The sequence below is a fragment of the Homo sapiens genome, chromosome 7 (genome assembly GCF_000001405.40).
Source record: "Homo sapiens chromosome 7, GRCh38.p14 Primary Assembly".
NCBI lineage: Eukaryota > Metazoa > Chordata > Mammalia > Primates > Hominidae > Homo > Homo sapiens.
The window spans coordinates 112369225-112395922 of NC_000007.14; the positions used below are offsets into that span (position 1 = coordinate 112369225).

Here is a 26698-nt window from a genome sequence, read left to right on the forward strand (position 1 = left end):
CACAGGCTATTTCACAGACACAGTAGACCACTAAGCCAGAACTTGGTTAAAATTGTATGTATTACCTAGTTCCCATATACCTTCACTGTAACAAGAGTGTTATGGTGATGCTTCAGGTCTCTAGGTATCAATGTCTACTCAGATTGTGTTTCCAGCAGTCTGCAAAATATCTAGATATTTCCCTTTTCCCATTGCAGTTATCAGAGTAAATCTCACATGAAGAAGAGGAAGAGGCTTCTGAATTGTCTTCTGGGGTGGGAAGATGAAAGGTACTTTCATAATTGTAAACCAGAAAGTGACTGAGGCAACTGAATTGATTTAGAGGTTTATTTTGGCAAGGTTTAGGATGTGCCCAGGAAAAAGAGACACAAGTCACAGTAGAATCCTGTCTCCTGTGCTTTTTCCAAAGAGGGTTTTGAGGACTTCAATATTTAAAGGGGAAAGAGTGAGCAGGAGAGGAAGAAGGAAAGGAAAAAAGGAGGGGAGTGGGTAGGCAACAAGGCAAGTGGTGACATTCTTCTGAGGCTCTAATTAGCACTCAGTGAATCTACATTTTATATGTGCAAAGGAAAAAGTGGAGGGAAAAGTCAATTATGCATTGGTCTTGTGCTTAGTAGATCTACATTTTATATAAAAGAAAGTCAGCATGTGAAATTACAGCTATCTGGGAACAAAAGTAAAGCAGTTTTTATGTGACTCCGTTTGTAAGCTGAACTTTCCATTTGGCACAGTGAATTTGGGGTCCCAAGATTTTATTTTCCTTTCACATAATGTACGTGAGCAACATCTGTAGTCAATGGGCTCTGTAAGTTCAGAGGAGTCTGGAGAATCAACCTTCCTGAACTTGTTCCTTGGCTTTTCCACCCTTCTTGAGGAAATGAGAGCTTCTTTGTATGCATCCACAGAGGCCCTCTGGCTTTCACACCTGGCTTACAAAAGCTTATTACTCAGCCCTTAAATGTTCATTATGTTTCTGTACAGCATCACTGGCACTTAGCAGTCACCATCCAATACCCTTATCCTTGCAGCTGCTCTTTTCTCCATACACCTCATATGCCCAAAATCACTCCAGCTGGTTCATTCCCTTCCATCAGTACACCTTCCAAATTCACAAAGTTTTAACAACTGGACTGCCACCTTGCCCCAGGGCTATCTGTGTTCCTCCTACTACCAGTCCTCATGGCCACCCAGAGGCAACTGATAACTACTCAACAACCTTATCTTATTGCCTGTTTTCTTGGGCCACTCCTGGTACCAACTCACATAGCTTGGATTCTCTGGAAGCAAATGCTGAGATGGAGTTTGAAGTGCAAGGTATTTATTAAGAATCAACACCTGTGAAGGGAAGAAGGCAAGGATTGGGCAAAGGACGAAGTTGAACTGCAGTGCAGGCTGAAAGTAGCCTTGGCCAATTTGGCAGGGAGCCATAGAGGGAGTGTTCTGTGCCAAGCCAGAATGAATGTGCTTATACACCTTCAATGGGCTTCATCATAGAACGTGGGCTGCTCTGGAAAGGAAGAGGCCTCTGAAGTAGCTCACTGCACACCCCATCTCATCCACCCCCAGCTGGGAAGTCAGTCCTTCTTTGAAAGGGATTTAGGCCACCTGCCTATGTGACTGTAACTGAAACACAGGTTCAGTTGCTTACTATTTGCAGAGTCTAATTAACAAGAGTGAGGGCTGGTATAAAGAAAGTGACATTTTTATTCCAAAACTAGCTTAGGGGGAAGAAGTACAGGCTTCCTGCCTTAAGGGTAACACTTTGCTTTTGGAGCAGAAAGCAGGCACTTTTAAAAGGGGGTGTAGCATGAATGACAAGCAGCAGACGAAGCATCAGGTGAGGATCCACAAAACTTGCTTTAGTGCCCTATCTACCAGGTGATCAAGCTGGTGACCATTGGTGTCCTTGTGGGCAGAACTAGGTTGTAAAGGTGGCTGAAACTCTCCAAGTAGGAAATAATTTCACAGCAGGCATATTTTGCATTGTAGATTGACTGTCATCTCTTGAGGCAACCTCCAGGTGAGTGAGAGCTCCACTCTGGAGCTTCTAAGCACATGGTTAGATGAACTTGCACTGTAGAGAGTGTCTGGTGAAAGGGAGGTAAAAGATTATAATTGTATTACTAAAGGGCTAAGTAGGAAGTGAGGAACAGGGAAAAATGGAGAAAAAAGAAAAAATATTTTTAAAACCCATTTTCTTTTTCTTAGAAAAATGGGGGTACTTTGTTACATGTCTACCCCAACCCTTTCCTCAGTGTTGAGAAATCATGTAAAGAACTTGAGTTATTTTGAAATTGTTTTGGTTTGCTTACCTATGCTTCTTGAGTGTGATGATCCTCAAAGTCTTTGAGTAAAAATCATAAGGGTTGGGGAATTAAGGAGGGATCAGTGGTTTAGAGTTTAGGCCACAACAGTATATGAGAGCGGGAAGGGACACTGCCCAAGGAGGGCAATGCATACTTGAAATAAAACCTGGTTAGGAAAGAGAGAGAAGTAAAGGGAAATAGGAGGACCCAGTAGTCAAACTTTGCATATATTACAAGGCTGCCTTCTGTTCGAAAAAACAGGGGAAAACAAGTGTGAATGAAAATGTAGAGCAATTGGAACCTTCAAACTTTGCTGATGGAAATGTGAAATGGCAAAGTCACGTTGGAAAATAGCCTGGAAAATAGTCTGGCAGTACTTCAAAAGACTAAACATAAAGTTGCCACATGACCCAGCAATTCCACTCTTAGATATACAACCCACCAGAAATGAAAACATATGTCCACACAAAAACTTGTGCATGAATGTTTATAGTAGCATTATTCATAATAACCAAAAAGTGGAAACAATCCAAACATTCATCAATTGATGAATGGATAAACAATATGTAATATATTTGTACAATAGAATATTATTTGTCAATAAAAAGAAAGGCAGTGCTAATACATACTACAATATGGATGAATGAAAACATTACACACTAATTGAAGAAAGACCAAACGTCATATGATTCTATTTATATGAAGTGTCCAGAATAGGGAATCTATAGAAACAGAAAGCAGATTAGTGGTTTCCAGGATCTGGACAAATGGGAAGTAAACTGCTAATAAGATTGCTTTTTGGGGTGATGAAAATGTTCCAAAATTCATTGTGGTGATAGTTGCACAATTCTGTGAATATACTATAAACCCATTGAATTGTGTACTTTAAGTGGGGGAATCATATGTGAGTTATTTCTCAATAACACTGTTAATAAAATATTTCATTAAAAAAATTACATTGATCCTGACCAGAACTATCCCTGAAAAATGTTGCCAGTTATGAGAAAGTGGTATATTTTCTATTTTTTTTAGGTTTGGACTTCTAAAATTTCTCTTCCAATATTTGGAATTCCTTTTAGGTGAACACTGGGAATTTGAGCAAGCTGTTGTGCTTGCTCAGCCCTACTCCACTCCAGCACTATAGTTGTAGCAGGAGTTTTCCTGCTCATCCGCTTCTACCCTTTAATAGAAAATAGTCTACCAATCCAAGCCTTTACATTATGTCTGGGGGCCATTACCCCCTTATTTACAGCGATCTGCGCTCTGACACAAAATGATATTTAAAAAATCATAGCGTTCTTCACCTCAAGCCAGCTGGGCCTTATAATAGTCACAATTGGCATTAATCAACCACATCTAGCATTCCTTAACATCTGCACGCATGCCATTTTTAAAGCTATATTATTTATATGTTCAGGCTCCATCAGCCATAACCTCAATGACGAACAAGACATCCAAAAAATAGGAGGACTGTTCAAGACTTTACCCTTCACTTCCTCCTCCCTTACTATTGGTAGCCTTGCACTTACAGGTATGCCTTTCCTCACAGGCTTTAACTCTAAAGACCTTATTATAGAAACCGCAAATACATCATACACCAACACCTGAGCCCTTTCTATTGCTCTTATTGCCACCTCCTTAACAGCTGTCTATAGTACCTGTATTATTTTCTTCGTTCTCATAGGACAATCTCGCTTCACAACTCTGATTATTATTAACGAAAATAACCCTTCCTAATTAACTCAATTAAGCACCTAACAATACAGCAGTATCTTCTCTGGGTTCCTCATCACCAACAGTACTATTCCTGCTTCATCCCCCCAAACAATTATACCACTCCACTTAAAGCTCAAAGCCCTAGGTGTAACCACCTTAGGCCTCTTACTAGCAATGGAGCTTAATCTCATAACTAATAACCTCAAACTAAAGTACCCATTACAGACATTCAGCTTCTCCAATATACTAGGTTTTTATTCAGCCACAATCAACCATTCAACCCCCCACTCAAGCCTATTCACAAACCAAAATGTGGCTTCACTTCTACTAGACGTAATTTGACTAGAAAAGTCTATACCAATGACCATCTCACAAATCTAAGTTTCAGCCTCCATTACTGTATCTACTCAAAAAGGCCTAATAAAACTCTACTTTCTCTCTTTTTTTATCCCATCCCTTCTAACACTACTATTAATTATCTAATCTATTACCCCAAGTATTTTCAATTGCAACATAAATACTAACAAATAATGATCAACTAGCAACTACCACTAATCAACACCCATAACTGTAGAAGGCAGCCACACCCACAGAATCCTCACACAACCCCACCCCCTCACCCTCAAAAATTATCCAACTCTCTACACTTTAAAATCAATTGTGATCACCAGCCCATTGTACTCAACTATTCACTGAACCAACATCAACTCTATTAATCATCCTAATAATAAACCTCCTCAAATGTCTATACTTGACCCTCGTGTTTCAGGGTATTCCTTAATAGCCATTGCCGCAGTATAACCCAAAACAACCATCATACCACCCAAATAAATCAAAAAGACTATTAACCCCACGAAAGCCCCACCAAAATTCAACACAATACCACAACCCACAGCACCACTAATAATTAGCCCTAGGCCTCCATAAATAGGAGAAGGTTTCAAAGAAAAGCCTACGAACTCTATAACCAAGAGAACATTTAATAAAAATAAAGCATATACCATTATTCCACATGGACTATAACCATGACCTAATGATATGAAAAACCATCATTGTACTTCAACTGTAAGAATACTGATGACGAATACCCGCAAAAGACACCCGCTAATAAAAATTAACTATTCAGTCATTGATCTTCCCACAGCCTCCAGCATTTCTACCTGATGAAACTTTGGCTCACTTCTTGGTGCCTGCCTAATTCTCCAAATCATCACAGGATTATTTTTGGCCATGCACTGTTCATCAGACACCTCAACTGCCTTCTCTTCAGTCACTCATATCAGCTGAGAGGTAAACTACGGATAAATGGTCTGCTATTTTCATGCTAATGGTGCTTCAATATTTTTCATCTGCCTCTTCTTACACATTGGCCAAGGGTTATACTACGGGTCATTACTATTCCCAGAAACCTGAAATATTGGCATTATTCTCCTATTCACAACTATAGCAACAACATTCATAGGCTATGTGCTCCCATGAGCCCAAATATCATTCTGAGGCACTACAGTAATTACAAATTTACTATCAGCCATCCCATATATTGGAACTGACTTTGTACAATGAATCTGAGGGGGATTCTCATTTGACAAAGCCACCCTCACACGATTTTTTGCCTTCCATTTCATCTTACCTTTCGTCATTACAGCTCTAGCAACTGTTCACCTTTTATTCTTGCATGAAACAGAATCTAACAACCCTTCAGGAGTTTCATCAGACCCCGACAAAATCACTTCCCCCCGACAATATACAACCAAAGATGTTCTAGGTTTAATTTTTCTCCTCCTCCTTCCCGACCTCCTGAGCGACCCAGATAATTACACTTTAGCCAACCCCCTCAATACCCCACCCCACATTAAGCCAGAGCGGTACTTTTTGTTTGCATATGCAATCTTACGATCTATCCCTAACAAATTAGGAGGCGTACTGGCCCTCGTATATTCCATTCTCATTCTAGCAGTTATTCCAGTACTTCACATGTCTAAACAACAAAGCATAATAAGTTATTAAGTCAATGCCTATTCTGAATCCTAGTGGCTGACCTGCTTACACTCACATGAATCAGAGGGCAGCCAGTCAAATATCCTTTCATTGCCATCGGACAGACAGCATCTATCATGTACTTCTCTACCATTCTCACCCTTATACCACTCACTACCGTAATTGAAAATAAACTTCTTAAATGAAAATGTCCTTGTAGTACAATTCCATACTCTGGTCTTATAAACCAGAAATGGAGAATCCCCTCCCCGGGGCAACTCAGGGAGAAAGCATTCCCGCTTCACCGTCAACAGCCAAAGCTGAAATTCTAATTAAACTACTGCCTGAATTTTTTCACAGCACACACTTTAACTACTATGTCAGTATTAACCAACTAACAGTACTAATTGATTAGTGGTGTCTGAGAGATGTTTGTGGCTATGGCTGTGGCATTGGCAGTTGAGCTTCCCATGGATATGAGGAAACTCCTAATTATTGTAGCCAAGGAATCTGCAGCTTCTTGACACCCATCTATCCATCCATCTGTCCATTCGTCTATTCATCCACTTGTCTACCCATCCACCCATCCACCCACCCCTCCATTCCTCCATCCCTCTCTATCCTTCCACCCACCCATCCATCCATCCAGTTAACATCTACCAGTAAGTACCTACTGTATGTTAGACCTTGTGTAATTGCTGGAGACACAATGGAGAACACAACAGTCATCATCTTATCCTTAAGCTTATAGTACAGCAGTGAGACAGTCAAATAAAAAGGCCATGGCCACACAATGTGATTTACATGTTGGAGAGGTGAGCATAGGGGTTATGAAGAACATAGGTCTCCCTTGATAAGTCAATCCATTCAGTGCCCACTTCATCCAGTCCTCTTTCTACAGTTGACCTCCTTCAGTTTTCTTTCTGTTTTCTCTCTCCACTGTAACCACTTTCCCTTATTAACTTTAAGATATATCCCTTTAGTGAGTAATCAGAATTTCAAATTCTTACTCCATATAAAGCATTTTAATGATGTACTTTTATGATATTAGAATTTTGTATCAGACCCTTGCTGCTATATTATAAATAGATGACCACACTGTCAAGGTTACAACCACATAAATACTCCAGAAACATTGTAGCAAGGAGAAACTCAAGTTCATTGAAATAATTGGATTAATTACCTTCTCTTCAGAGACTTGAAATTTTTCTTCCCCTAGCAACTCTCTTTAGAGAAAGTTTTACTGTATAGCTGTATGCATTCATCTCCATCTGTCTGAGATGGCTGGTTTGGGTTTTCCTATGTGCTCTTAGCAGTTCTGTGAAATTGTTTGCTATTGCATCTGCAGTTCTATTATGATTTGAGATATTTTGAAAGAAGAGTTAGTTTGTTGCTGACTGCATTATGTTGACCACATCCTCACCTGTGTCGATTTACTTCAGAGTTCCTTTTTTTCTAAAACCACATTATCGATCTTTGTAATAATAGGTTTTTAGGTATTACAGATGCTTTTTCATAATTTATTTTATTTTCATTTACATAGTCTCCCAATTTAAAAGAAGCCAATGGTATTCATACTTCAGGAAGATCTGGGCAAGTTCGAGAGTTTGAGTCCTTTGAATAGAACACTGAAGGACATATGCTACTTCTAGTTTGCTTTACAATTTCTCAGCACTGACATTTTAATTTTATTTTTTAGAGACAGGGTTTTGTCATGTTGCCCAGGCTGGCCTCGAACCCCTGAGCTCAAGTGATCCATCCGCCTTGGCCTCCCAAAGTGCTGGGATTACAGGTGTGAACCACTGTGCCTGGCTCGAAATTTTTGAAATTTAAGAAATACTGTATAGATCTAAATATTTATTTGAGAGATGGAGAGAAGAGCAATTGAGTGCTAGTGATCTATATAATGTAACTAAAGTGAAGATGCCATTATAATGTTTGAACATGATATGTAAATTTTATGGTTTGTTTCTAATCTAAATGTTACTTTGAAAAGTTATGGACAAGTCCAGTTGTTTTTGCCTCAGCAGAGAAGTTTCCTCAAATTGAAACTAATTAAGAAAAACATCTAAAAACTTTAATTACTCAAGAAATATTATCTAATTTGGTATTACTGTCTACAGGAGTCGAATTATGCAAAAATCTTGCTTACAACTACATAATTAGTGATTTTATTGAAATGAAGACAGGAAAAAATAACATATGGAAAAAATATAAAATACACTGTGAATTAAATGCCTTTATTTACTGCTCTTCTCAACATCTCCAGACTATCAATGGACCACCCAGACATGCACAATAATAATTTAATTTTATCATGTTTGATATTTTGCCAAATTTTACATTTTATACTTATCTTTTTTCTATTTTGTCATTAAGCAGGTTTTTCAAAGTAGGAGAAGAGAACATATTTTAATTAACTGTTTGTTGGCTTGACTTATAACTTTCATTATTTTATTTATTTATTTTCTGTAGAGATGGGGTTTCACCATGTTGGCCAGGCTGTTCTTGAACTCCTGGCCTCAAATGATCTGCCTGCAGAGGCCTCACAGAGTGCTGGGATTACAGGCATGAGCCACCGCACCCAGCTTGATTTATAGCTTTTAAATGTTTAGACTTACAGTATGTAGCTTTCCATCTGTACTCTGGCCACAGGCTCCACAAGTGTTTGAGGAAAGCCTTAGATTTTTCATGCCTTAGTTTTTTGTTTGTTTGTTTGTTTGTTTTTAGACAGAGTCTTGCTTTGTCTGTCACCTAGGCTGGAGTGCAGTGGTGCAATCTCGGCTCACTGCAACTTCCGCCTCCCCGGTTCAAGCGATTCTCCTGCCTCAGCCTCCCGAGTAGCTGGGACTACAGGCGCGTGCTACCACACCCAGCTAACTTTTTGTACTTTTAGTATAGACGGGGTTTCACCGTGTTAGCCAGGATGGTCTTGATCTCCTGACCTCGTGACCCGCCCGCTTCGGCCTCCCAAAGTGCTAGGATTACAGGCGTGAGCCACTGTGCCCGGCAGATATATATATATATTTTAATAGCACTATATTCACATGATTAAAAACTTTAAAAATATATAGCAAAAGTCAAATTGTGAAAAGCCTAATTGCCACTCTAATTTCATCCATCACATTCTCACCTCTGCCTGCAAACCATTTCTTGGATAATCACATTTATAAAATTATATATGAATATAGCTTTGTATTCTCCTCCCTCCCTTTTATATAAATGTTAGCATTCTGTGTATATTGTCTTATACCTTGCCCTTTCCACTTAACATATTTTGGAATATTTCCATATTAGTTCATCGAGAAGTTTCTCAATCTTTTAAAACAGTTGCATAGTAGTCCATTGTATGGATATATAACAACTTATTATTTGACTATTCCAAGGACATTTGGGTCATTTCCAATCTGTTACTATTACACACAACACTGACATGCCTGTTTAGTATTACTGCTCCTTGCTCCCAAAATGTCAGCAGCAGCACCCTCTGTCACAGTGGTCAGCCAATGTGTGCTCTTTCACCTTTCCAACTGCCTCTGAGTGGGAAGAGGGATGGTCATGTCTCCAACATTTATATTTGTCATTGCATTTTATTTGTAATTTGTTTGAATTTCTAATTTTACTAATCTTTGTAAGTTTAATTATGTATTAGTTTCCTGTGGCTGCTGTAACACATTGCTGCAGCCTTGGTGGCTTAAAACAACGAAATTTACTGTCTCACAATGCTGGGTGCCAGAATTCTGAAATCAAGTCTGCAAAAAAGGTGTCTGCAGGGTCACATCCCTTTCAGACTCTAGAGGAGAATCCATTCCTTGCCTCTTCCAGCTTCTGGTGGCTGTAAGAGCTCCTTGGCTTGCAGCTATATCACTCCAGTCTCTGCCTGCAGCTTCACATGGCCTTCCTCTCTTTATATCTTCTCTGTATGTCACTTAAAAACTCCCTCTGCCTCTCTCTTATTGCACATGTGGTCTTATTATACATGTGATCATATTACACATGTGATTGCATTTAGGGCCCACTCAAATAATTCAGGGTAAATGCCTCCTTTCAAGATCCTTAACTTAATCTTTTGTCATATAAATGAATATTCCCAGGTCCCAGGGATTAGAACATGAACAGGTCTTTGGGGCCACCATTTAGCTTACTGCAATAGATGTTGCCAAGTTGTCCTCCAAAAAGTTTGAACCAAATTTATACTTTCTTTAGTGATATATGAGTGCCTGTTCCCCACAGTCTTACCAACAGAATGTTGTCAAACTTCTGGATTTTACTAATCTGATAGGGAAAATAATATCTTAGTATAGCTTCAATTGCATTTCTCTTATGTGTGAGTTTGAACATTTGTATATATTTATGAGCCTTGAATGTTTATTTCTATGTGAACTATCTGCTCATGTCCTGTGCTCATTTTTCCCCCCTGGATTCTTGGTCTTTTTTTAAAAAAAAAAACAACACACACACACACAATTTCTAAGCACATCTTATATACCAAGATTACCCTTTCATCTTTAAATGAAATACAAACTTTCTTGATTTTTTTTACTTTGTAGTGTCTGTATCATGCACATAAATGTAGTTGTAGTTCTTTTCCCCCTTTATATAGTTGAATCTTTTATGGCTTCTGTTTTCCTTTTAGTTAGAAAGTATTCCCCTCTCTAAAGTTATATAGCAATTCTCTCAAGCTTACTTCTAGAACTTTTATGCTTCATTTTTTTCCCAGTTTATCTTGAAGTCTTTGATGACCTTAGAGTTTATCCTTATGTGTTGTGTGAGATATAGATCCAACTAAATTTATTCCAGGGCAGGATGTTTCCTGCACTTAGCTTTCTCAGATTTATGAAATATCCTACCTTATAAAAGGCTAAATACTTTGGTATCATGTGTCTAAAGGGAAGCATAAAAGAACAAGTTAAAATTTGAATTGGTGCCTCCAGTATGGCTAACAGCTATCTATCAAAATATACTAACCGGCCATTTATAGGGCATTATTAATTATGATATATCCTTCTAATTAAATACAATTTGCCCTATAGTTAATTATTCTTGCATGCTAGACCCTGTTATAAGTAATTTAATTGTTAATATGTGTTTGAGCTTTACAACACTGCTATGAGATAGATGGTGTTATTACCCCAATTTTAGAAATTGAGGTAATAACACCACAGATTATCAAATGGAGGCATCTAGGATAAATGGCTTGCCTGAGACTACACAGAAGCTGTGTGGTAGGCACAGGAGCTGGGATTTGAACCTAGGCAGCCAGATTCCAAAGCCCACATTTGTGACTCTTCTGCTATCCCATGGCTTAAGAAAAGTGAGGCACGCAACAATGAGAACGTACTTAACGCCACTGAACTAACTAACTGTACACTTAAAATGGTTAAGATGGCAAATTTTATGCTATGTACATTATACCACAATTTTTTAAAAATCTATTTAATTAGTTAATTTACATTACAATAGTAAAACTTTTAATGGGCATATTTAAAATATTTAATTCACCTACAATTTGATAAGTTTTGATGTATCTATGAAACCATTACCACCACAATGAAGGTAATGAACATAACCATTATCCCCAGAGTAACCATTACCCTTCAATGTAAGCTGGAGAAAAATGAAACCGTAGAAGTTCTGGAAGTAAGCATGAGAGAACTAAAAGAAAAATAGAAGCCATAAAAGATTCAACTGTATTAAAGGAGAAAAAAACTACAATTACGTTTATGTGCATGATAAAGATACTACATAATAAAATGATCAATAAACATTTTTTAAATTTATTTATCCTTTCCTCCTGACTTTCCAGCCTTCCATTCTCTACTCCATCCACACAGCATTAAAATTTAAGTTACCTTACAGATCCTTAATGAGAATAATAATCCATATTGGCATCAAATAAACAACAAGTGGCTTCAGGATGTAAGGGTTTAGCAGTTGGCTAAGTTCAGTCAGTTTTTTTTTTATTCAAGTTTTATTTTAGATTCAGGGAGTGCATGTACAGGTTTGTTATGTGGGTATATTGCTTGATGCTAAGATTTGGGGTACAAACGATTCCATATGCAGGTAGTGACCATAGTACCCTTTCCCTGCTCCCTCATGCTATAGTAATCCCCAATGTCTATTGTTGCCATGGACTTAATGTCCATGAGTACCTAAGGTTTAGCTCCCACTTATAAGTGAGAACATGCAGTATTTGGTTTTCTGTTCCTGCTTTAATTTTCTTAGGATAATGGCCTCCAGCTGCATCCATGTTGCTGCAAAGGACATATTTTTGGGTTTTTTTTCATGGCTGTGTAATATTCCATCGTGTATATGTGCCACATTTTCTTTCTCCAATCCACCGTTGATGAACACCTTGGTAGATTCCATGTCTGTGCTATTGTGAATAGTGATGAACATATGAGTGTGTGTCTTTTTGATAGAACAATTTTTTTGGATACATACCCAGTAATGGAATTACTGGGTTGATTGGTAGTTTCGTTTTAAGTTTTTTGAGACATCTCCAAACTGCTTTCCACAGTGGCTAAACTAATACACATTCCCACCAACAACGTATAAGCATTCCTTTTTCTCTGCAGCCTCACCAATATCTGTTGCCTTTTGACTTTTTAATAATAGCCATTCTGACTGACAGATAACATCTGGTGTAAGATGTTATCTCATTGTGGTTTTTATTTGCAGTTCTCTGATGATTAGTGATGTTGAACACTTCTCATGTTTGTTGGCTGCTTCTCTGTCTTCTTTTGAGAAGTGTCTGTTCCTGTCTTTTGTCTACTTTTTAATGGGGTTATTTGTTTTTTACTTGTTGAATTAAGTTTCTTATAGATTCTGGATAATAGACCTTTGTTGCGAATATTTTCTTTCATTCTGTATGCTATCTGTTTATTCTGTTGATAGTTTTTTTTGTTGTGAAAAGCTCTTTAGTTTAATTAGGTCTGACTTGTCAATTTTTGTTTTTATTGCAATTGCTTTTGAGAGCTTAGTCATAAATTCTTTCCCAAGGTTGATGTCTAGAATGGTACTTCCTAGGTTTTCTTCTAGGATTCTTATAGTTTGAAACCTTACCTTTAAGTCTTTAATCTATCTTGAGTTAATTTTTGTATATGGTAAAAGCTAGCGGTCCAGTTTCATTCTTCTGCATATGGCTAACTAGCTATCCTAGCACCATTTACTAAATAGAAAATCCTTTCCCCATTGGTTATTTTTGTTGACTTCATCAAAAATCAGGTGGTTGTAGGTGTGTGGCTTTATTTCTGGGTTCCCTATTTTGTTCCCTATTCTGTTCCATTCATCTATGTGTCTGCTTTTGTACTAGTACCTCGCTGTTTTGGTTACTGCAGCCTTGTAGTATAGTTAGAAGTTGAGTAATGTGATGCCTCTGGCTTTGTTCTTTTTGTTTAGCATTGCTTTGGTGATTTGGACTCTTTTGGTTCCATGTGAATTTTTTTTTTGAGACAGAGTCTCACTCTGTTACTCAGGCTGGAGTGCAGTGGCAGGATCTCAGTTAACTGCAACCTCTACTTCCCAGGTTCAAGCAATTCTCCTGCCTCAGCCTCTAGAGTAGCTGGGATTACAGATGCATGCCACCACACCCAGCTAATTTTTGTATTTTTAGTAGAGACGTGGTTTCACCGTGTTGGCCAGTCTGGTCTTGAACTCCTGACTTCAAGTGATCCGCCCACCTCAGCCTCCCAAAGTGCTGGTATTGCAGGTGTGAGCCACCACACCCAGCCCATATTAATTTTAGAATAGAAAAAAATATTTTTAAAAATGAGGCAGATCTATACACCCTAATCTGGAGTGAAAGCCATGAAGAAGTAAGGGGTTCAGGGAAGGAGAGAGAAAAATAAGTAAAGGAGAACTCCGGTTTCATTGTTTAAATATGCATATGTGTTTGTCTGTATATATGTAATAGGAATATATATAATATATATACATAAGAAAGTATACATGTGCAGAAAAAACTCTAGATGATAAACATCAAATTGTTAACTGTGACTATTTGTGGTTAGAGGGATTAGAGAGGAAGGATTTTTTAAACTTCACACTCTTCTGTAATTTTGTGAGGGAAACTGCAATGAATAACCTTTACTTTTGAAATCAAATGGAAAAGATGCAGGGTGGCCCCCCAAAAAGTCACCTATCATCACATCCCCACCCACCTGCCTCTCCCAGGGCCTTTACATCTTTGATCCTCTACTTTACACCAGGCACAGGGGCCGGTGTCAAATTGGTCACTTGTCCCAAGTTGCTGATCAGAAATCTTGCATTTTCTGTGTTTGCTCAGCACCAGGCTTTCGGGATTTCTTTGTACTCTTCCCCTGTATACCTTGGATTTTCCAAAGGCTGATTATAAAATAGGTGTTTAATATCTCACCAGTAGCAACTGGTATATGCTCATGTGCAAAGTGGCTTACAATGTTCATTAAAAGCAGATACCAGCATGGGACACACATAATGCAAGCGGGGAGGCATGTCTGGCAGACTGTTCCCAAGACGTAACCTCATGAAAGAAGAAAGTGAAAACCACGCCCTCTTTTGGTCACATTTTAACTTTTTCTTCATGTGTCAAATCATAGTTGTTCTGAAGCCCTCCAGGGTCATGGAGGTGGGTTAGGGGTTTGGCTCTAGACTGATGTAATCCTACACCTGTGTTCACATCACCTCCATCTCTGTGCCAGCTGTCACTCCTCCACTGTCAGCAAATGTGGACTCCATGTTTTCCCCTGCTGCTCCAAATCACAGCCTCCCTCACCTCCTGTGCCTGTTGCTCCTCCTCCTGCTTGGCTGCTCTTTCTACTTCCTTTCTTCCTTCTCCGAGGCTTCACCTGCACTTAGTGTGGGCATCATCAAGCCAACCAGGCGAGTGCTGTGAGCTGACCCATTACAGGCAGAGGACTCCTAACAGGATGTAAGTCAGGCCTTTTTTCTTCTCGGCTCAAAATGCTCCTAGGAGTCCTCATTTCACCCAGAGCAAAAGCCAAAGTCCTTTCAGGCCCTGTGAGGACTCACACGACTTGATCCTCCTTTACCTCATTCTCCACGGCTCTCTCTCTTGCTTACTCTGATCCTGGCACATCAGCCTCCCTGTCACTCCTTGCCCAAGCCAGCCATGCTCCCAGCCGAGGGCCTTTGCACTCGCTGTCCCTTCTGCCTGGAACGCTCTTCCTCTGGGTACCACATGACTCAGTCTCACCTCTTTCAAGTCTGCTCAAACGCAGCACTTCCACAGTGAAACCTCTGGCCACCCTATTTGTGACTGCAACCCACTCTATCCCCCTTCTGTCCTCCTCTTCCCTACTTTATTTTTCTCCCTAGCAGGGATTTTCATCTCTTTCATGCACTGATGAATCCCCAACATCTTCATCAGTGTTGAGCGAATAGTCAGTGGACATTAATAGCTCAGGAATGAATTATTTGTATATTTTAGAATCATGGGATCTTCATACGGGCTAAGCTATTTTCACCAGGATTTGGTCTTGGAGGTCTTTTTAGTATCACTATATTGCTGGGTTTTGCATCTGTTTGAGGTAATGGATTGTTAAGGATCCCTCCTGGGCCAGGAAGCTGAAGGTATAACATGGAGAAGTCCCCAGTGTGAAGGACCATGAGGGGCAGTCACACTGGGCCAGGGAGAAGCTGAGACATAGCAGCCACTTCCAGGAGACTTGGATTAATCTACATGAGAGCTTCAAGAAGTCTCTGTTCCACTTACCCCAAAGCCAGCTCCAATCTAGGCACCAAGTCCCATATGCAAATACTGGTATCTCCCATAGGAGAGCCCCATAGCTTCATCAACAGGAACAGCTCACCCAATTCCCTGAGGGTAGGAGGCCTTGATATAGACAGTCATCAGAATGGAGTCCTCTTAGCATCTGCATCTTAAACAGAAGTCGACAGTTAGGGGTGCAGTGGTTGAAGCTCAAAGACCTAGACTAGCCACCCACTCCCTTCTTTATGCCCAGACCTGGGGGTAGGATATTTTTCCTGGACTACTGTTCTACAAACTGGGGGTGGAGGTGGGGGTCATCTGAGCAGAAACGGCAGGGGGCATGGCAGATGCTCTTCTCTCTCTCATTCTGCCAGGCCCGGTAGAGCAGCTATCGACACAGTTGCAGGAAGGCATGAATTGCTGAGCCAGGTCTGACCTGGCTGCCCTCAGGAAGCCCTCTGACAGGGACCCATCAGCTAAGCTGGCACCACGTGGTGTGCCTGGCATTGTTCTTTAGATATTCTACTTCTTGACTTCAAAAAGCATGTTCTAAGATTGGTTAAACCCAGTATCCAGCGTCTGGATGATTGTAAGGGACTCAATGCGGATGGCCCCTTTTCCTGTTGAGTTTTTTAAAACCCTGGCCTCTGAAAAATCTTCGTTCTCTGTGTGTGTGCACTTAGCAAGCCTCCCAGTCCTTTGCCATCTTTATAAATCAAAAGTCTCTGGTACACAACACATGAGATTACTACTGTTGGCCCAAGAAAGACCTTGGAACACTTTTGTCCTTTTGAACCAGAGTCACCTGACTCTGGGCCATTTCCCTGACATAAGATTCCAAGGTAGAGTTTACTAAGATTTCACTCATATTGCTCAGTTTATGCTTACAGCTAAGAGAAAAAAGTTTTAATAATTTCAACTATTAATCAAAAAGAATAAAAAGATAGCAATATCGATTCATATACATTAATATAGATATGAGCCATGAGGGCTACCTGGGAAGGAGAACATTTCTAATATCATTTTGTTCCAAGACCCTGACACCTGGAATTTTGTCTTTCTAATTTTTTTCTCCTTTCTTTCTTCTTCTTTCTCTCTCTGATTTTCTGTCTTTCATAAAGTTTTTTGTGATGGCTTTCCTAATGACATTTTATTGTTATTTTTATAAAGTAGAGGAATGTTTGTTTGCTAGTATTAATTGCCTATTACAAGTCCATTCAAATATATAGATACAATATTTTCTAAAATATTCTTAGATTGTGGTATATGTAAATTTTCTTCATGAATTTCTACTAAGGTTCATTGCTTCCTAAAATTATTGTGCCTGTTGGTATAATCCAGTAGAGCAGGTGATATTTTTCTTTTATTAGTGCAGAAAACATAACCAAAATTATAATTAAAGCAGTTGGTTGAACAGTGAATGAAATATATCACATAACAACCTCATACTTAGATATTACTAATTGTAATTCAATATAATTAACACTTTACAAATTATCCATTATTATTTATTTGGACCGAAAAAAAGCATGCTCTGAGGCTCTTTGCTGTCTGCCTAGGCATTTTTGTGTGGATGATAAAACGATGCCACATTCTATAGTAATAAATATATATGTATGTATATATGTATACACACACACACATTTAATTTCCTTTGACAGATTTTCTCCCTGTATGAGGCAAATGTTCCAACTTATAGATTAAAACCTGTTAGTGAAACTGCTCATGAAGTATGCGTAATGCTCTGAGGTTTAATAAGCAGTTTCTGGGAAGCTGCATGGCTGTTGGAGCATAACTATTACTACAAGGTTGTTATTATTTGATTAGCTCACTATAGAGGAGCCTTGTGAGATTTTGTCATGGATCACTGTCTGCATGTAATAGCTTCTCTCCTTAGTTACAGGAGTAAACCAGCAGTAAACTCCAGAGGCTCAACTCAGGGATGTTGCTATCTTATGCTCTTAGGAAGCATACTAGGTGTGATTAACCCCTTCTGAGCTGGTTAAAAGTGAATTTTCACAGCCTAACTTAGAAAAAGAATTTTTTCCCCCACTTACTGATGATCTCAGACACAACTCTTAAGTAAGCAAAAGAAGTATAATCAGTTTCTTGAATAGTTAGAAACCTGGTTAATAAGTCACTTTTAGTGACAGGTCTCTGCCATTACAAGCAATCCCTCTCTTGTTTTTTGCTTTAGACCCAGACCTAGATGCACCTGAAATGCCAAGGAAGAGGAACCACTGGATGACTGAGGAAGGCATGAAGAAAGATGCATCCTTAAACTAGACCTTCAAGATGGAATAGAGTTTTTAAGAAATAACACTTACACTGAATTGCTTTAATTATATAAAGGAACCATAGAACATTTGAAAAAATGTAGATAAGAATAAAGATGTAAAGATTCAAGGATTTAGTCTTTGGTAACTGTCTTTATAAGTAATATTGTAATAAACATCCTTGTGCATAAATTTTGAGTGTCTCTAGAGATAAATTCTGATTGATCAGAATCAGAGATAAATTCTAAATTTCTTAGGATAAATTCTGAGAGCTGAAATTTTTGGGTCTAAGGCCTCTGAAACTTTATTGCTAAATTGCCCTCCAAAGGATTCTTACTAATTTGTCTTCATACGTGCCACCTATGAATCTCCAAAGCCTCTGTATGATCAGACAGAAGTGGGGAGAGATTAGTGTTGACCTTTAAATAGTCCCACCGAAAGCCATGTTCAGATATACAATGCTACGGTTTCTCTAGACTCTTATAGAGCAACTATTTGGGAATTTTTAATAATCAAATTATGTACCACACAAGAACTCCTTTTTTACATTGCTATTAACCTGTGGTATTCTTGTTCTTGTTCTTGGTGGTGGTGTTAGTTTTACTTAATTTTGCCAAAACCTTGGTCAAAACCTTATTCAACACCCACTAGGATGGCTATTAAGAAAAAATACAGATAATAACAAGCATTGCTGAGAATGTGGAAAAATTGGAGCCCTCACACATTGCCTATGGGACTGTAACATGATACCACTACTTCGGAAAACAGTTTAGCAGTTCCTCAAAAAGTTAAACTTAGAGTTCGCATATGACCCAGCAAGTCTACTCCTAGATATATACCCAAGAGAAGTGAGGATTCAAAACATGCCCACACAAAAACATGTGCACAAATGTTCATAACAGCATTATTCATAATAGCCAAAAAGTAAAAACAACTCAATGACCATCAACTGATGAATTGATAAAAAAGTATGGTACATCCACACTTTTTTTGGTACAAAAAAGAATAAAATACTTGGTTACCTGATACAAAAAAGAGTAAAATACTAAGCCTAGCATGGTAATCCCAGCACTTTGGGAGGCTGAGGCAGACGGGTCACTTGAGGTCAGGAGTTCCAGATGACCCTGGCCAACATGGCAAAACCCCGTCTCTACTAAAAATACAAAAATTAGCCGGGCATGCCGGTGGTTTGCACCTGTAGTCTCAGCTACTCGGGAGGCTGAGGCACGAGAATCACTTGAACCTGGGAGGCAGAGATTGCAGTGAGCTGAGATCATACCACTGCACTCCAGCCTGGGCGACAAAAAAAAAAAAAAAAGTAATTACTGACACGTGCTACAACATGGATGAATCGTGAAAACATTAAGCTAAGTTAAAGAACTCAGTCACAAAAGGCCACACATGGCATGACTCCTTTTATATGAGATGTCAAGAGTAGGCAAATCCACTAAAACAGAGAGTAGACTCATGGTTACCAGGGGATGGAGGGAAGAGAAAAAAAAGGAGTGGTTGCTAATGGGTATGGGGTTTCTTTTGGGGATGATGAAAATGTTTTAGAATTAGATAATAATGACGTTTGTATGACTCTATGACCATACTAAAAGCCACTGAATTGCACACTTAAAAATCCTTATTCTGGCCGAGCACGGTAGCTCATGCCTGTAATCCCAGCACTTTGGGAGGCCGAGGAGGGCAGATCACCTAAGATCAGGAGTTCAAGACCAGCCTGACCAACATAGTGAAACCCCGTCTCTACTAAAAATACAAAATTAGCTGGGCATGGTGGCACATGCCTATAATCCCAGCTACTCAGGAGGCTGAGGCAGGAGAATCGCTTGAACCCAGGAGGCAGTTCAACCCAGGAGGTTGCAGTGAGCCGAGGTCACACCATTGCACTCCAGCCTGGGCAACAAGAGTGAAACTCAGTCTCAAAAAAAAAATTCTTATTCTACGGAAATGAACACATGTCCACAGACAGACATGCATGTGAATGTTTATAGCAGCATTATTCATAATAGCCAAAAACTAGAAACAACCTAAATGCCCATCAACAGGTGAATGGGTAAACAAAATGTACATACATTATGAAATACTATTCAACAATAAAATAAAAGTACTGATACATACTACAACACCTTGAAAACATAATACAAAGTGGAAGAAGCCACGTATTGTATGATCCCATTCATATGAAGTATCTAGAAAAGGCAAATTTATAAAGACGGAATGGGATCAGTGGTTGCCTAAAGCAGGAGGATGGGAGTGGGGATTAACTGTAAATGGACACCACGGAGCTTTATGCAGTGATGGAAACATCCTGAGACTGGGTTTCAATGATGGCTGTACAACTCTACACATTCATAAGAGTCATTGACTTGTACATTTATAATGGGCGAACTTTATGGTATAGAAATTAGACTTCAATTAAGTTGGTAAGAATGAAAACCTTATTAATAGACTTGGCTATGAATGTCCCTTAGACATTCCCGCAGTTCCTTGCTGTAAGGATGAACGTTCTCTATATGTCATAGGGTCCACCTCTGAGTGGAAGAGTTACATAAATGTTTTGAGGAATGGCAGCCTCAGAGCCCACCTCAAGAAACGGGTTTAAAGGGAACAGCCTTCACTGGGATGTCTCACTGACAGTGTATTTCTGAAGCAGTCAGATCCCTGCGTTGTGATATCCAGTACATGACTCTTCTCTGTACACACTCTGCAGGATCTGGAAAGCTTATGAGTGGAGGAGGCAACAAAACTAGAGGAACCTCAAGACAATTCCCAGATCATAGAAACCAAGCCATCCCTTCCTCCCTTTTATAAGAGAAGTTTCTCCTAGTTAAACAAGATTATACAAAATGAACACATATTTCATTTATAAAGCCCATTTGGCCATCCCAATATAGATGATAGCGATAATGGTGTAATTCAAGACTACCAGGAGAGAACACCTGTCCCACCTCACTCCACCCCATATATACATATACACACTTATACAGGTGTACCTCTCTTTGTCTCAGTAATGACTGCAATTCTTCTAACTACGGGCAATATGGTATGGAGGGTATGAACGAGTGCTCTCATGCCAGATGACTGAGTTTCAATTCTGGCTTCACCGCTTACTAGCTGTGTGGCCTTGGGCAAGGTGTAACCTCTCTGTGCCTCAGTCTCCTCATCTGTAAAATGGGGATGGCATAGGACTTTTGTCAGAAGTAAATAGATTACTGCTTGTAAAGTGCTTAATATATTGCCGGACACATAGTAAGTGCTGCATATGTATCAACCACATTCGGGCCCTGGTTCTGGCAGGTACTGGTCTTGTGTCCTCGGGGAGTCATTTCATCTCTCTGGACCTCAACCTGGTCACATGTAAAATGGTGATAATAACCCTGCACTGCTTACTTCTCAGGATCGTCGTGAAGGCCTCATAAAATAATATGTGGACAGTGCCTTGAAAAGCAGCAACCCCATGTAAATGTCTGTCTTGTTACTTATCCTAGGTCTATGTAGATTGTTTGGGAGCACAGTGGTTCTCACACTTGTCAAGAAATCAGACTATTTTCTCCTTTGTGGAGCAAACTGCTTCTACTTCAAGTCTTGGCTTAGAGGTCACTCCTGTAGGAAAACTTCCCTGATCCCCCTCACTCCGAATAATTGTGTTAGGTGCCCCTTCGACACCCTCCCCAGCACACCATACCCGGTGCCCGGTGTTCCTATTCCTTATCATTGCAGTTATGTATGTATTGTCAGCATTTGCTTACTTGTCTGATTTTGAGATCCTTGAAGACAAGAATAACTGTGTCTGGGGTCACCTCTATGTCCTTAGCACTTATTTCAATGTCTAGCACATAGCACGTGCTCAAGAAATATTTGCTTAATAAAGTCCAGATTCAAAGAGCCCACTCCCACTGGATATATTCACTCCAACGATATTTCAGAAGCTTCTCATTCTTACTATCTTCAAACTGGAACTGGTTCTAACCGGTTATCTAACTTATCTAACTTATTACTTATTTAACTCAGCTGATTTAGCTTTCTAATTTATTTCTTATTGCTCTCGTTGCTCCCACTCACTTTGTTCTATGCTGTTCTCCCAATATACCAGGCACGCGTCTGCCTCAGAGCCACCGGGCACGCGTCCGCCTCAGAAACACCGGGCACGCGCCCGCCTCAGAAACACCGGGCACGCGTCCGCCTCTGAAACACTGGGCCCGCGGCTGCCTCAGAAACACCGGGCACGCGCCCGCCTTAGAGCCACCGGGCATGCGCCCGCCTCAGAAACACCGGGCACGCGTCCGCCTCTGAAACACTGGGCCCGCGGCTGCCTCAGAAACACCGGGCACGTGCCCGCCTTAGAGCCACCGGGCATGCGTCCGCCTCTGAAACACCGGGCACGCGTCCGCCTCTGAAACACCGGGCCCGCGGCTGCCTCTGAAACACCGGGCACGCGCCCGCCTCAGAAACACCGGGCACGCGTCCGCCTCTGAAACACCGGGCCCGCGGCTGCCTCAGAAACACCGGGCACGCGCCCGCCTTAGAGCCACCGGGCATGCGCCCGCCTCAGAAACACCGGGCACGCGTCCGCCTCTGAAACACTGGGCCCGCGGCTGCCTCAGAAACACCGGGCACGCGCCCGCCTTAGAGCCACCGGGCATGCGTCCGCCTCTGAAACACCGGGCACGCGTCCGCCTCTGAAACACCGGGCCCGCGGCTGCCTCAGAAACACCGGGCACGCGCCCGCCTTAGAGCCACCGGGCACGCGCCCGCCTCAGAAACACCGGGCATGCGTCCGCCTCTGAAACACCGGGCCCGCGGCTGCCTCAGAAACACCGGGCACGCGCCCGCCTTAGAGCCACCGGGCATGCGCCCGCCTCAGAAACACCGGGCACGCGTCTACCTTAGAACCACCAGGCACGCGGCTGCCTCAGCACCACCAGCCATGCTTCTACCTCAGAACCTTTGCATTTGCTGTTCCCTCTTCCTGGAACACTATTCTATGTCCACATGGCTTTCTTCCTCATTTCCTTCAGGGATTTGCTCAAATATTCTGTTTTTAGTGAGGCTTCCCCTGAATATCTTTTAAAAAATAAAAATCACTCTCCCTCAGGCCTTCCTGATCCTCTCTTCCAATCTTATTTTTCTTCATTGAAATTTTTTTTTTTGAGACAGAGTTTCTCTCTGTCGCCAAGGCTGGAGAGCAGTGGCACAATCACAGCTCACTGCAGACTCAACCTTCTGGGCTCAAGTGATCCTTCTCTCAACCTCCCAAGTAGCTGGGTCCACAGACACGTGCCATCATGCCCGGTTATCTTTTATTTTTATTTTTTTGAATAGACGATGTATCACCATGTTGCCCAGGCTTCTCACAAACTCCCCCCGAGTGATCCGCCCGCCTTGGCCTTCCAAAATGCTGGGGTTACATGTGTGAGCCACCGTGCCCGGCTCCTCCGTCCCTTACCCTTTCACATGCTGTGTAGTTGTTTACCTGTTATCTGTCTCCACTCACTAACTTACAAGCTCCATAAGAGCAGGGATTTTTGTCAGTTTTGTTGGCTGCTTTAGAATAGTGCCTGGCACAGGCCGCGCGCGGTGGCTCACGCCTGTAATCCCAGCACTTTGGGAGGCCGAGGAGGGTGGATCACGAGGTCAGGAGATCGAGACCATCCTGGCTAACACGGTGAAACCCTGTCTCTACTAATAATACAAAAAAAAATTAGCCGGGCATGGTGGCAGGCGCCTGTTGTCCCAGCTACTGGGGAGGCTGAGGCAGGAGAATGGCGTGAACCCGGGAGGCGGAGCTTGCAGTGAGCCGAGATCGCGCCACTGCACTCCAGCCTGGGCGACAGAGCTAGACTCTGTTTCAAAAAAAAAAAAAAAAAAGGAATAGTGCCTGGCACATAATAGGCATTCAGTAAATATTGTTTGAATGAATAAATCTTAAACAGAGTGTGTGATATAAAATGTAAGATTTCCTTTATGACTTGGGGTCATCTACATCTAGCTGGGCATTCCTGACCACCCGTCCTTCTATTCTCATCCAAGCAGAGTTCTTCACTTTCTCCTCTTTATTACTCCTGTTCCTTACACGTTTTTATAGTTAGACTCATCACACTGAATTCTAATTTATTTATAAATATGTTTGCTTTCCTCCCCTTGCTGTAGGCTCCTTGGGGTAGTAACTGCATTTAAACTATTTCTAAATCCTCAGTATCCTGAACAGCGTCTGGAACTTTGCGGGCACCAGTGAAATGTCAGTTGGAACGTATTGCCCATACCTAAAAGAGCAGGTGCAGATACAGTGTGGGAGGTAGGGGTGACTGATTTCGTTTGTTGTTCTGCTGTGTGCAGTTAATGTCCCTGATATAGTTTGGATACTTGTCCCCACCCAAATCTCATGTCAAAATATAATCCCCAGTGTTGGAGGTGGCCGCTGGTGGGAGGGTGATTAGATCATGAGGACGGATTTCTCATGAATGCTCTAACACCGTCCCCTTGGTGCTGTTCTTGCAATAGTGACTGAGTTTTCGTGAGATCTGGTTGTTTAAAAGTGTGTGGCACCTCCTCACCTCTCTCTTGCTCCTGCTCCCTCTTCATCTTCTGTCATGATTGTGAGATGCTGGCGCTATGCTTCCTGTAGAGCCTGCGGAACTGTAAGCCAATTAAACCTCTTTTCTTAGAAATTATCCAGCCTCAGATATTTCTTTATAGCAATGCAAGCATGGCATAATGCAATTCCCATCCCTTTCCCTCAGATTACTGAATCCTAGGATCAGAGAATCTCTGCTTGGTATGTGGAAGTCCTCAGGAAGAATGAGAAACTGTTGATCCATCTCCCCCACCTTCAGCTCCCTCTACATGGAACAAGCTTCTAGCATCCCACCTGTGAGAGCAAAGAGCCAAGGTGGCAGCTCCTTGCCCTCCAATTTGCCTCTTCCTCCTCTGCTCACATTACCCCAGCTCCATCCAAGGCTGCTGATAGGACTGGTTGGTCCCCTGCCTGCTTCCCTTCTTTCTTTCTTAATGTAAAATCCTCAGTGCTCTGCCCTAAGCCCTTTTCCTTTCTCATATGATCTTCCTTTGATGGTCTTTTTTTTTTTTTTTTTTTTTTGAGATAGAGTCTTGCCCTGTTGCCTAGGCTGGAGGGCAGTGGCGCCATCTCGGCTCACTGCAACCTCTGCCTCCTGGGTTCAAGCGATTCTCCTGTCTCAGCCTCCTGAGTAGCTGGGATTACAGGTGTGCACCCGCACGCCCAGCTAATTTTTGTATTTTTAGTAGACAGGGGGTTTCGCCATGTTGGCCAAACTGGTTTTGAACTCGTGACCTCAGGTGATCTGCCCACCTCGGCCTCCCAAAGTGCTGGGATTACAGGAGTGAGCCACCATGCCTGGCCCTTTGATGGTCTTATCTATTCCTGTTCTACCTGTGACAATGCCATAAAACCTAGGATCTTAGGACTATTGAGTATGAAGCACCCTCTTGACAACCTAAACTTTGGTTTAGGTTATCAACCTATCTCAACCCTATCATTAGCAAATGACCTTCACCATTTCCACCCTATCAGTTTACTGCATGTATTATTTATTTACTATTTTAAAAAATCAGTATGCTTTCCCACTTCACTTAGCCAAAGAAATAGTGTCAGCAAAATGAAGAGTTTGTTGGACAATCATTTTTTTTAGAGAGAGAGTCTTGCTCTGTTGCCCAGGCTGGAGTGCAGTGGCACAATCATGGCTCACTGCAGCCTTGACTTCCCGGGCTCAAGCAGTCTTCCTGCCTCAGCCTTCCAAGCAGCTGGAACTACAGACATGAGCCACTACACCTAGCTAATTTTTAAATTTTAAGCAGAGGTGGGGTCTTGCTATGTTGCCCAGGCTGATCTCAAACCCCTGGCCTCAAGTGATCCTTTCATCTCAGCCTCCCAAAGTGCTGGGATTATAGATGTGAGCCACTATGACAGGCCTGGGGAATCTTTTTTTCTAAAACACATCAACATAAATATGAGTGGTAAAAAATTTTTTGAAGTTTCCATGTGGACCACCTAAAATCATATTGCAGACCACACTGTGGGAGACTTGGGTTCAGCACTGCATCTTCACCTTGTAGAGGGGTAAACTGAGAACCAAAGAGGCTAAATGATGCAACTGAAGCCACATTTCCAGTTAGCAGTAGAGCTTTGAGTATGACTTGTACGCCACCTTACCTTGAGTCCTGTGATCTCTCCAGAGCCCAGGACTAGTTTTCCTAATTTCTGTGCTTGCTGTCACTTTTCCATAAATACTGTACTAGTATATCAGATTCAGTCTGATATGGTTTGTCTCTGTGCCCCTAGCCAAATCCCATTACAAATTGTAATCCCCATGTGTCAAGGAAGGGACCTGTAATCCCCACTGTCGAGGGAAGGAAATGATTGGATTATGAGGGCGGTTTCCCCCATGCTGTTCTCATAATAGTGAGTGAATTTCACAAGATCAGATGGTTTTATAAATGGCAATTTTTCCTGTGCTCTCACAAGCTCACTTTTCTCTTGCCTGCTGTCACATAAGATGTGCCTGCTTCCCCTTCTGCCATGACTCTAAGTTTCCTGAGGCTTCACCAGCCATGCAGAACTGTGAGTCAATTAAACCTCTTTTATTTATAAATTAGCCAGTCTTGGGCAGTTCTTTATAGCAGTGTGAAAATGGACTAATACATAGTCCTTACGGAATTCATCTTTC

General features: G+C 41.2%; 1 long non-coding RNA gene and 3 pseudogenes across 1 annotated transcript, besides 1 other annotated feature; 2 read left to right on the forward strand and 2 right to left on the reverse strand.

Annotated features, from left to right (window-relative positions):
* Positions 1 to 1305: 1305 nt before the first annotated feature.
* LOC105375456 (uncharacterized) lies at positions 1306 to 22113 on the reverse strand. Its single transcript, XR_927870.3, has 3 exons — positions 22059 to 22113; positions 15715 to 15880; positions 1306 to 2087 (listed from the first exon to the last, which is right to left on the reverse strand). It is a non-coding gene; the product is annotated as an uncharacterized LOC105375456 (long non-coding RNA).
* On the forward strand, positions 3423 to 4499 carry MTND5P8 (MT-ND5 pseudogene 8; annotated as a pseudogene).
* On the reverse strand, positions 4509 to 5026 carry MTND6P24 (MT-ND6 pseudogene 24; annotated as a pseudogene).
* Positions 5100 to 6205, forward strand: MTCYBP24 (MT-CYB pseudogene 24; annotated as a pseudogene).
* Positions 23044 to 23553: an enhancer, noted in NCBI's record as "H3K27ac-H3K4me1 hESC enhancer chr7:112032323-112032832 (GRCh37/hg19 assembly coordinates)". NCBI's record gives its function as "activates a minimal SCP1, AML or CMV promoter by ChIP-STARR-seq in primed H9 embryonic stem cells {active_cell/tissue: H9 hESC(primed)}" and the evidence as "EXISTENCE:reporter gene assay evidence [ECO:0000049][PMID:30033119]".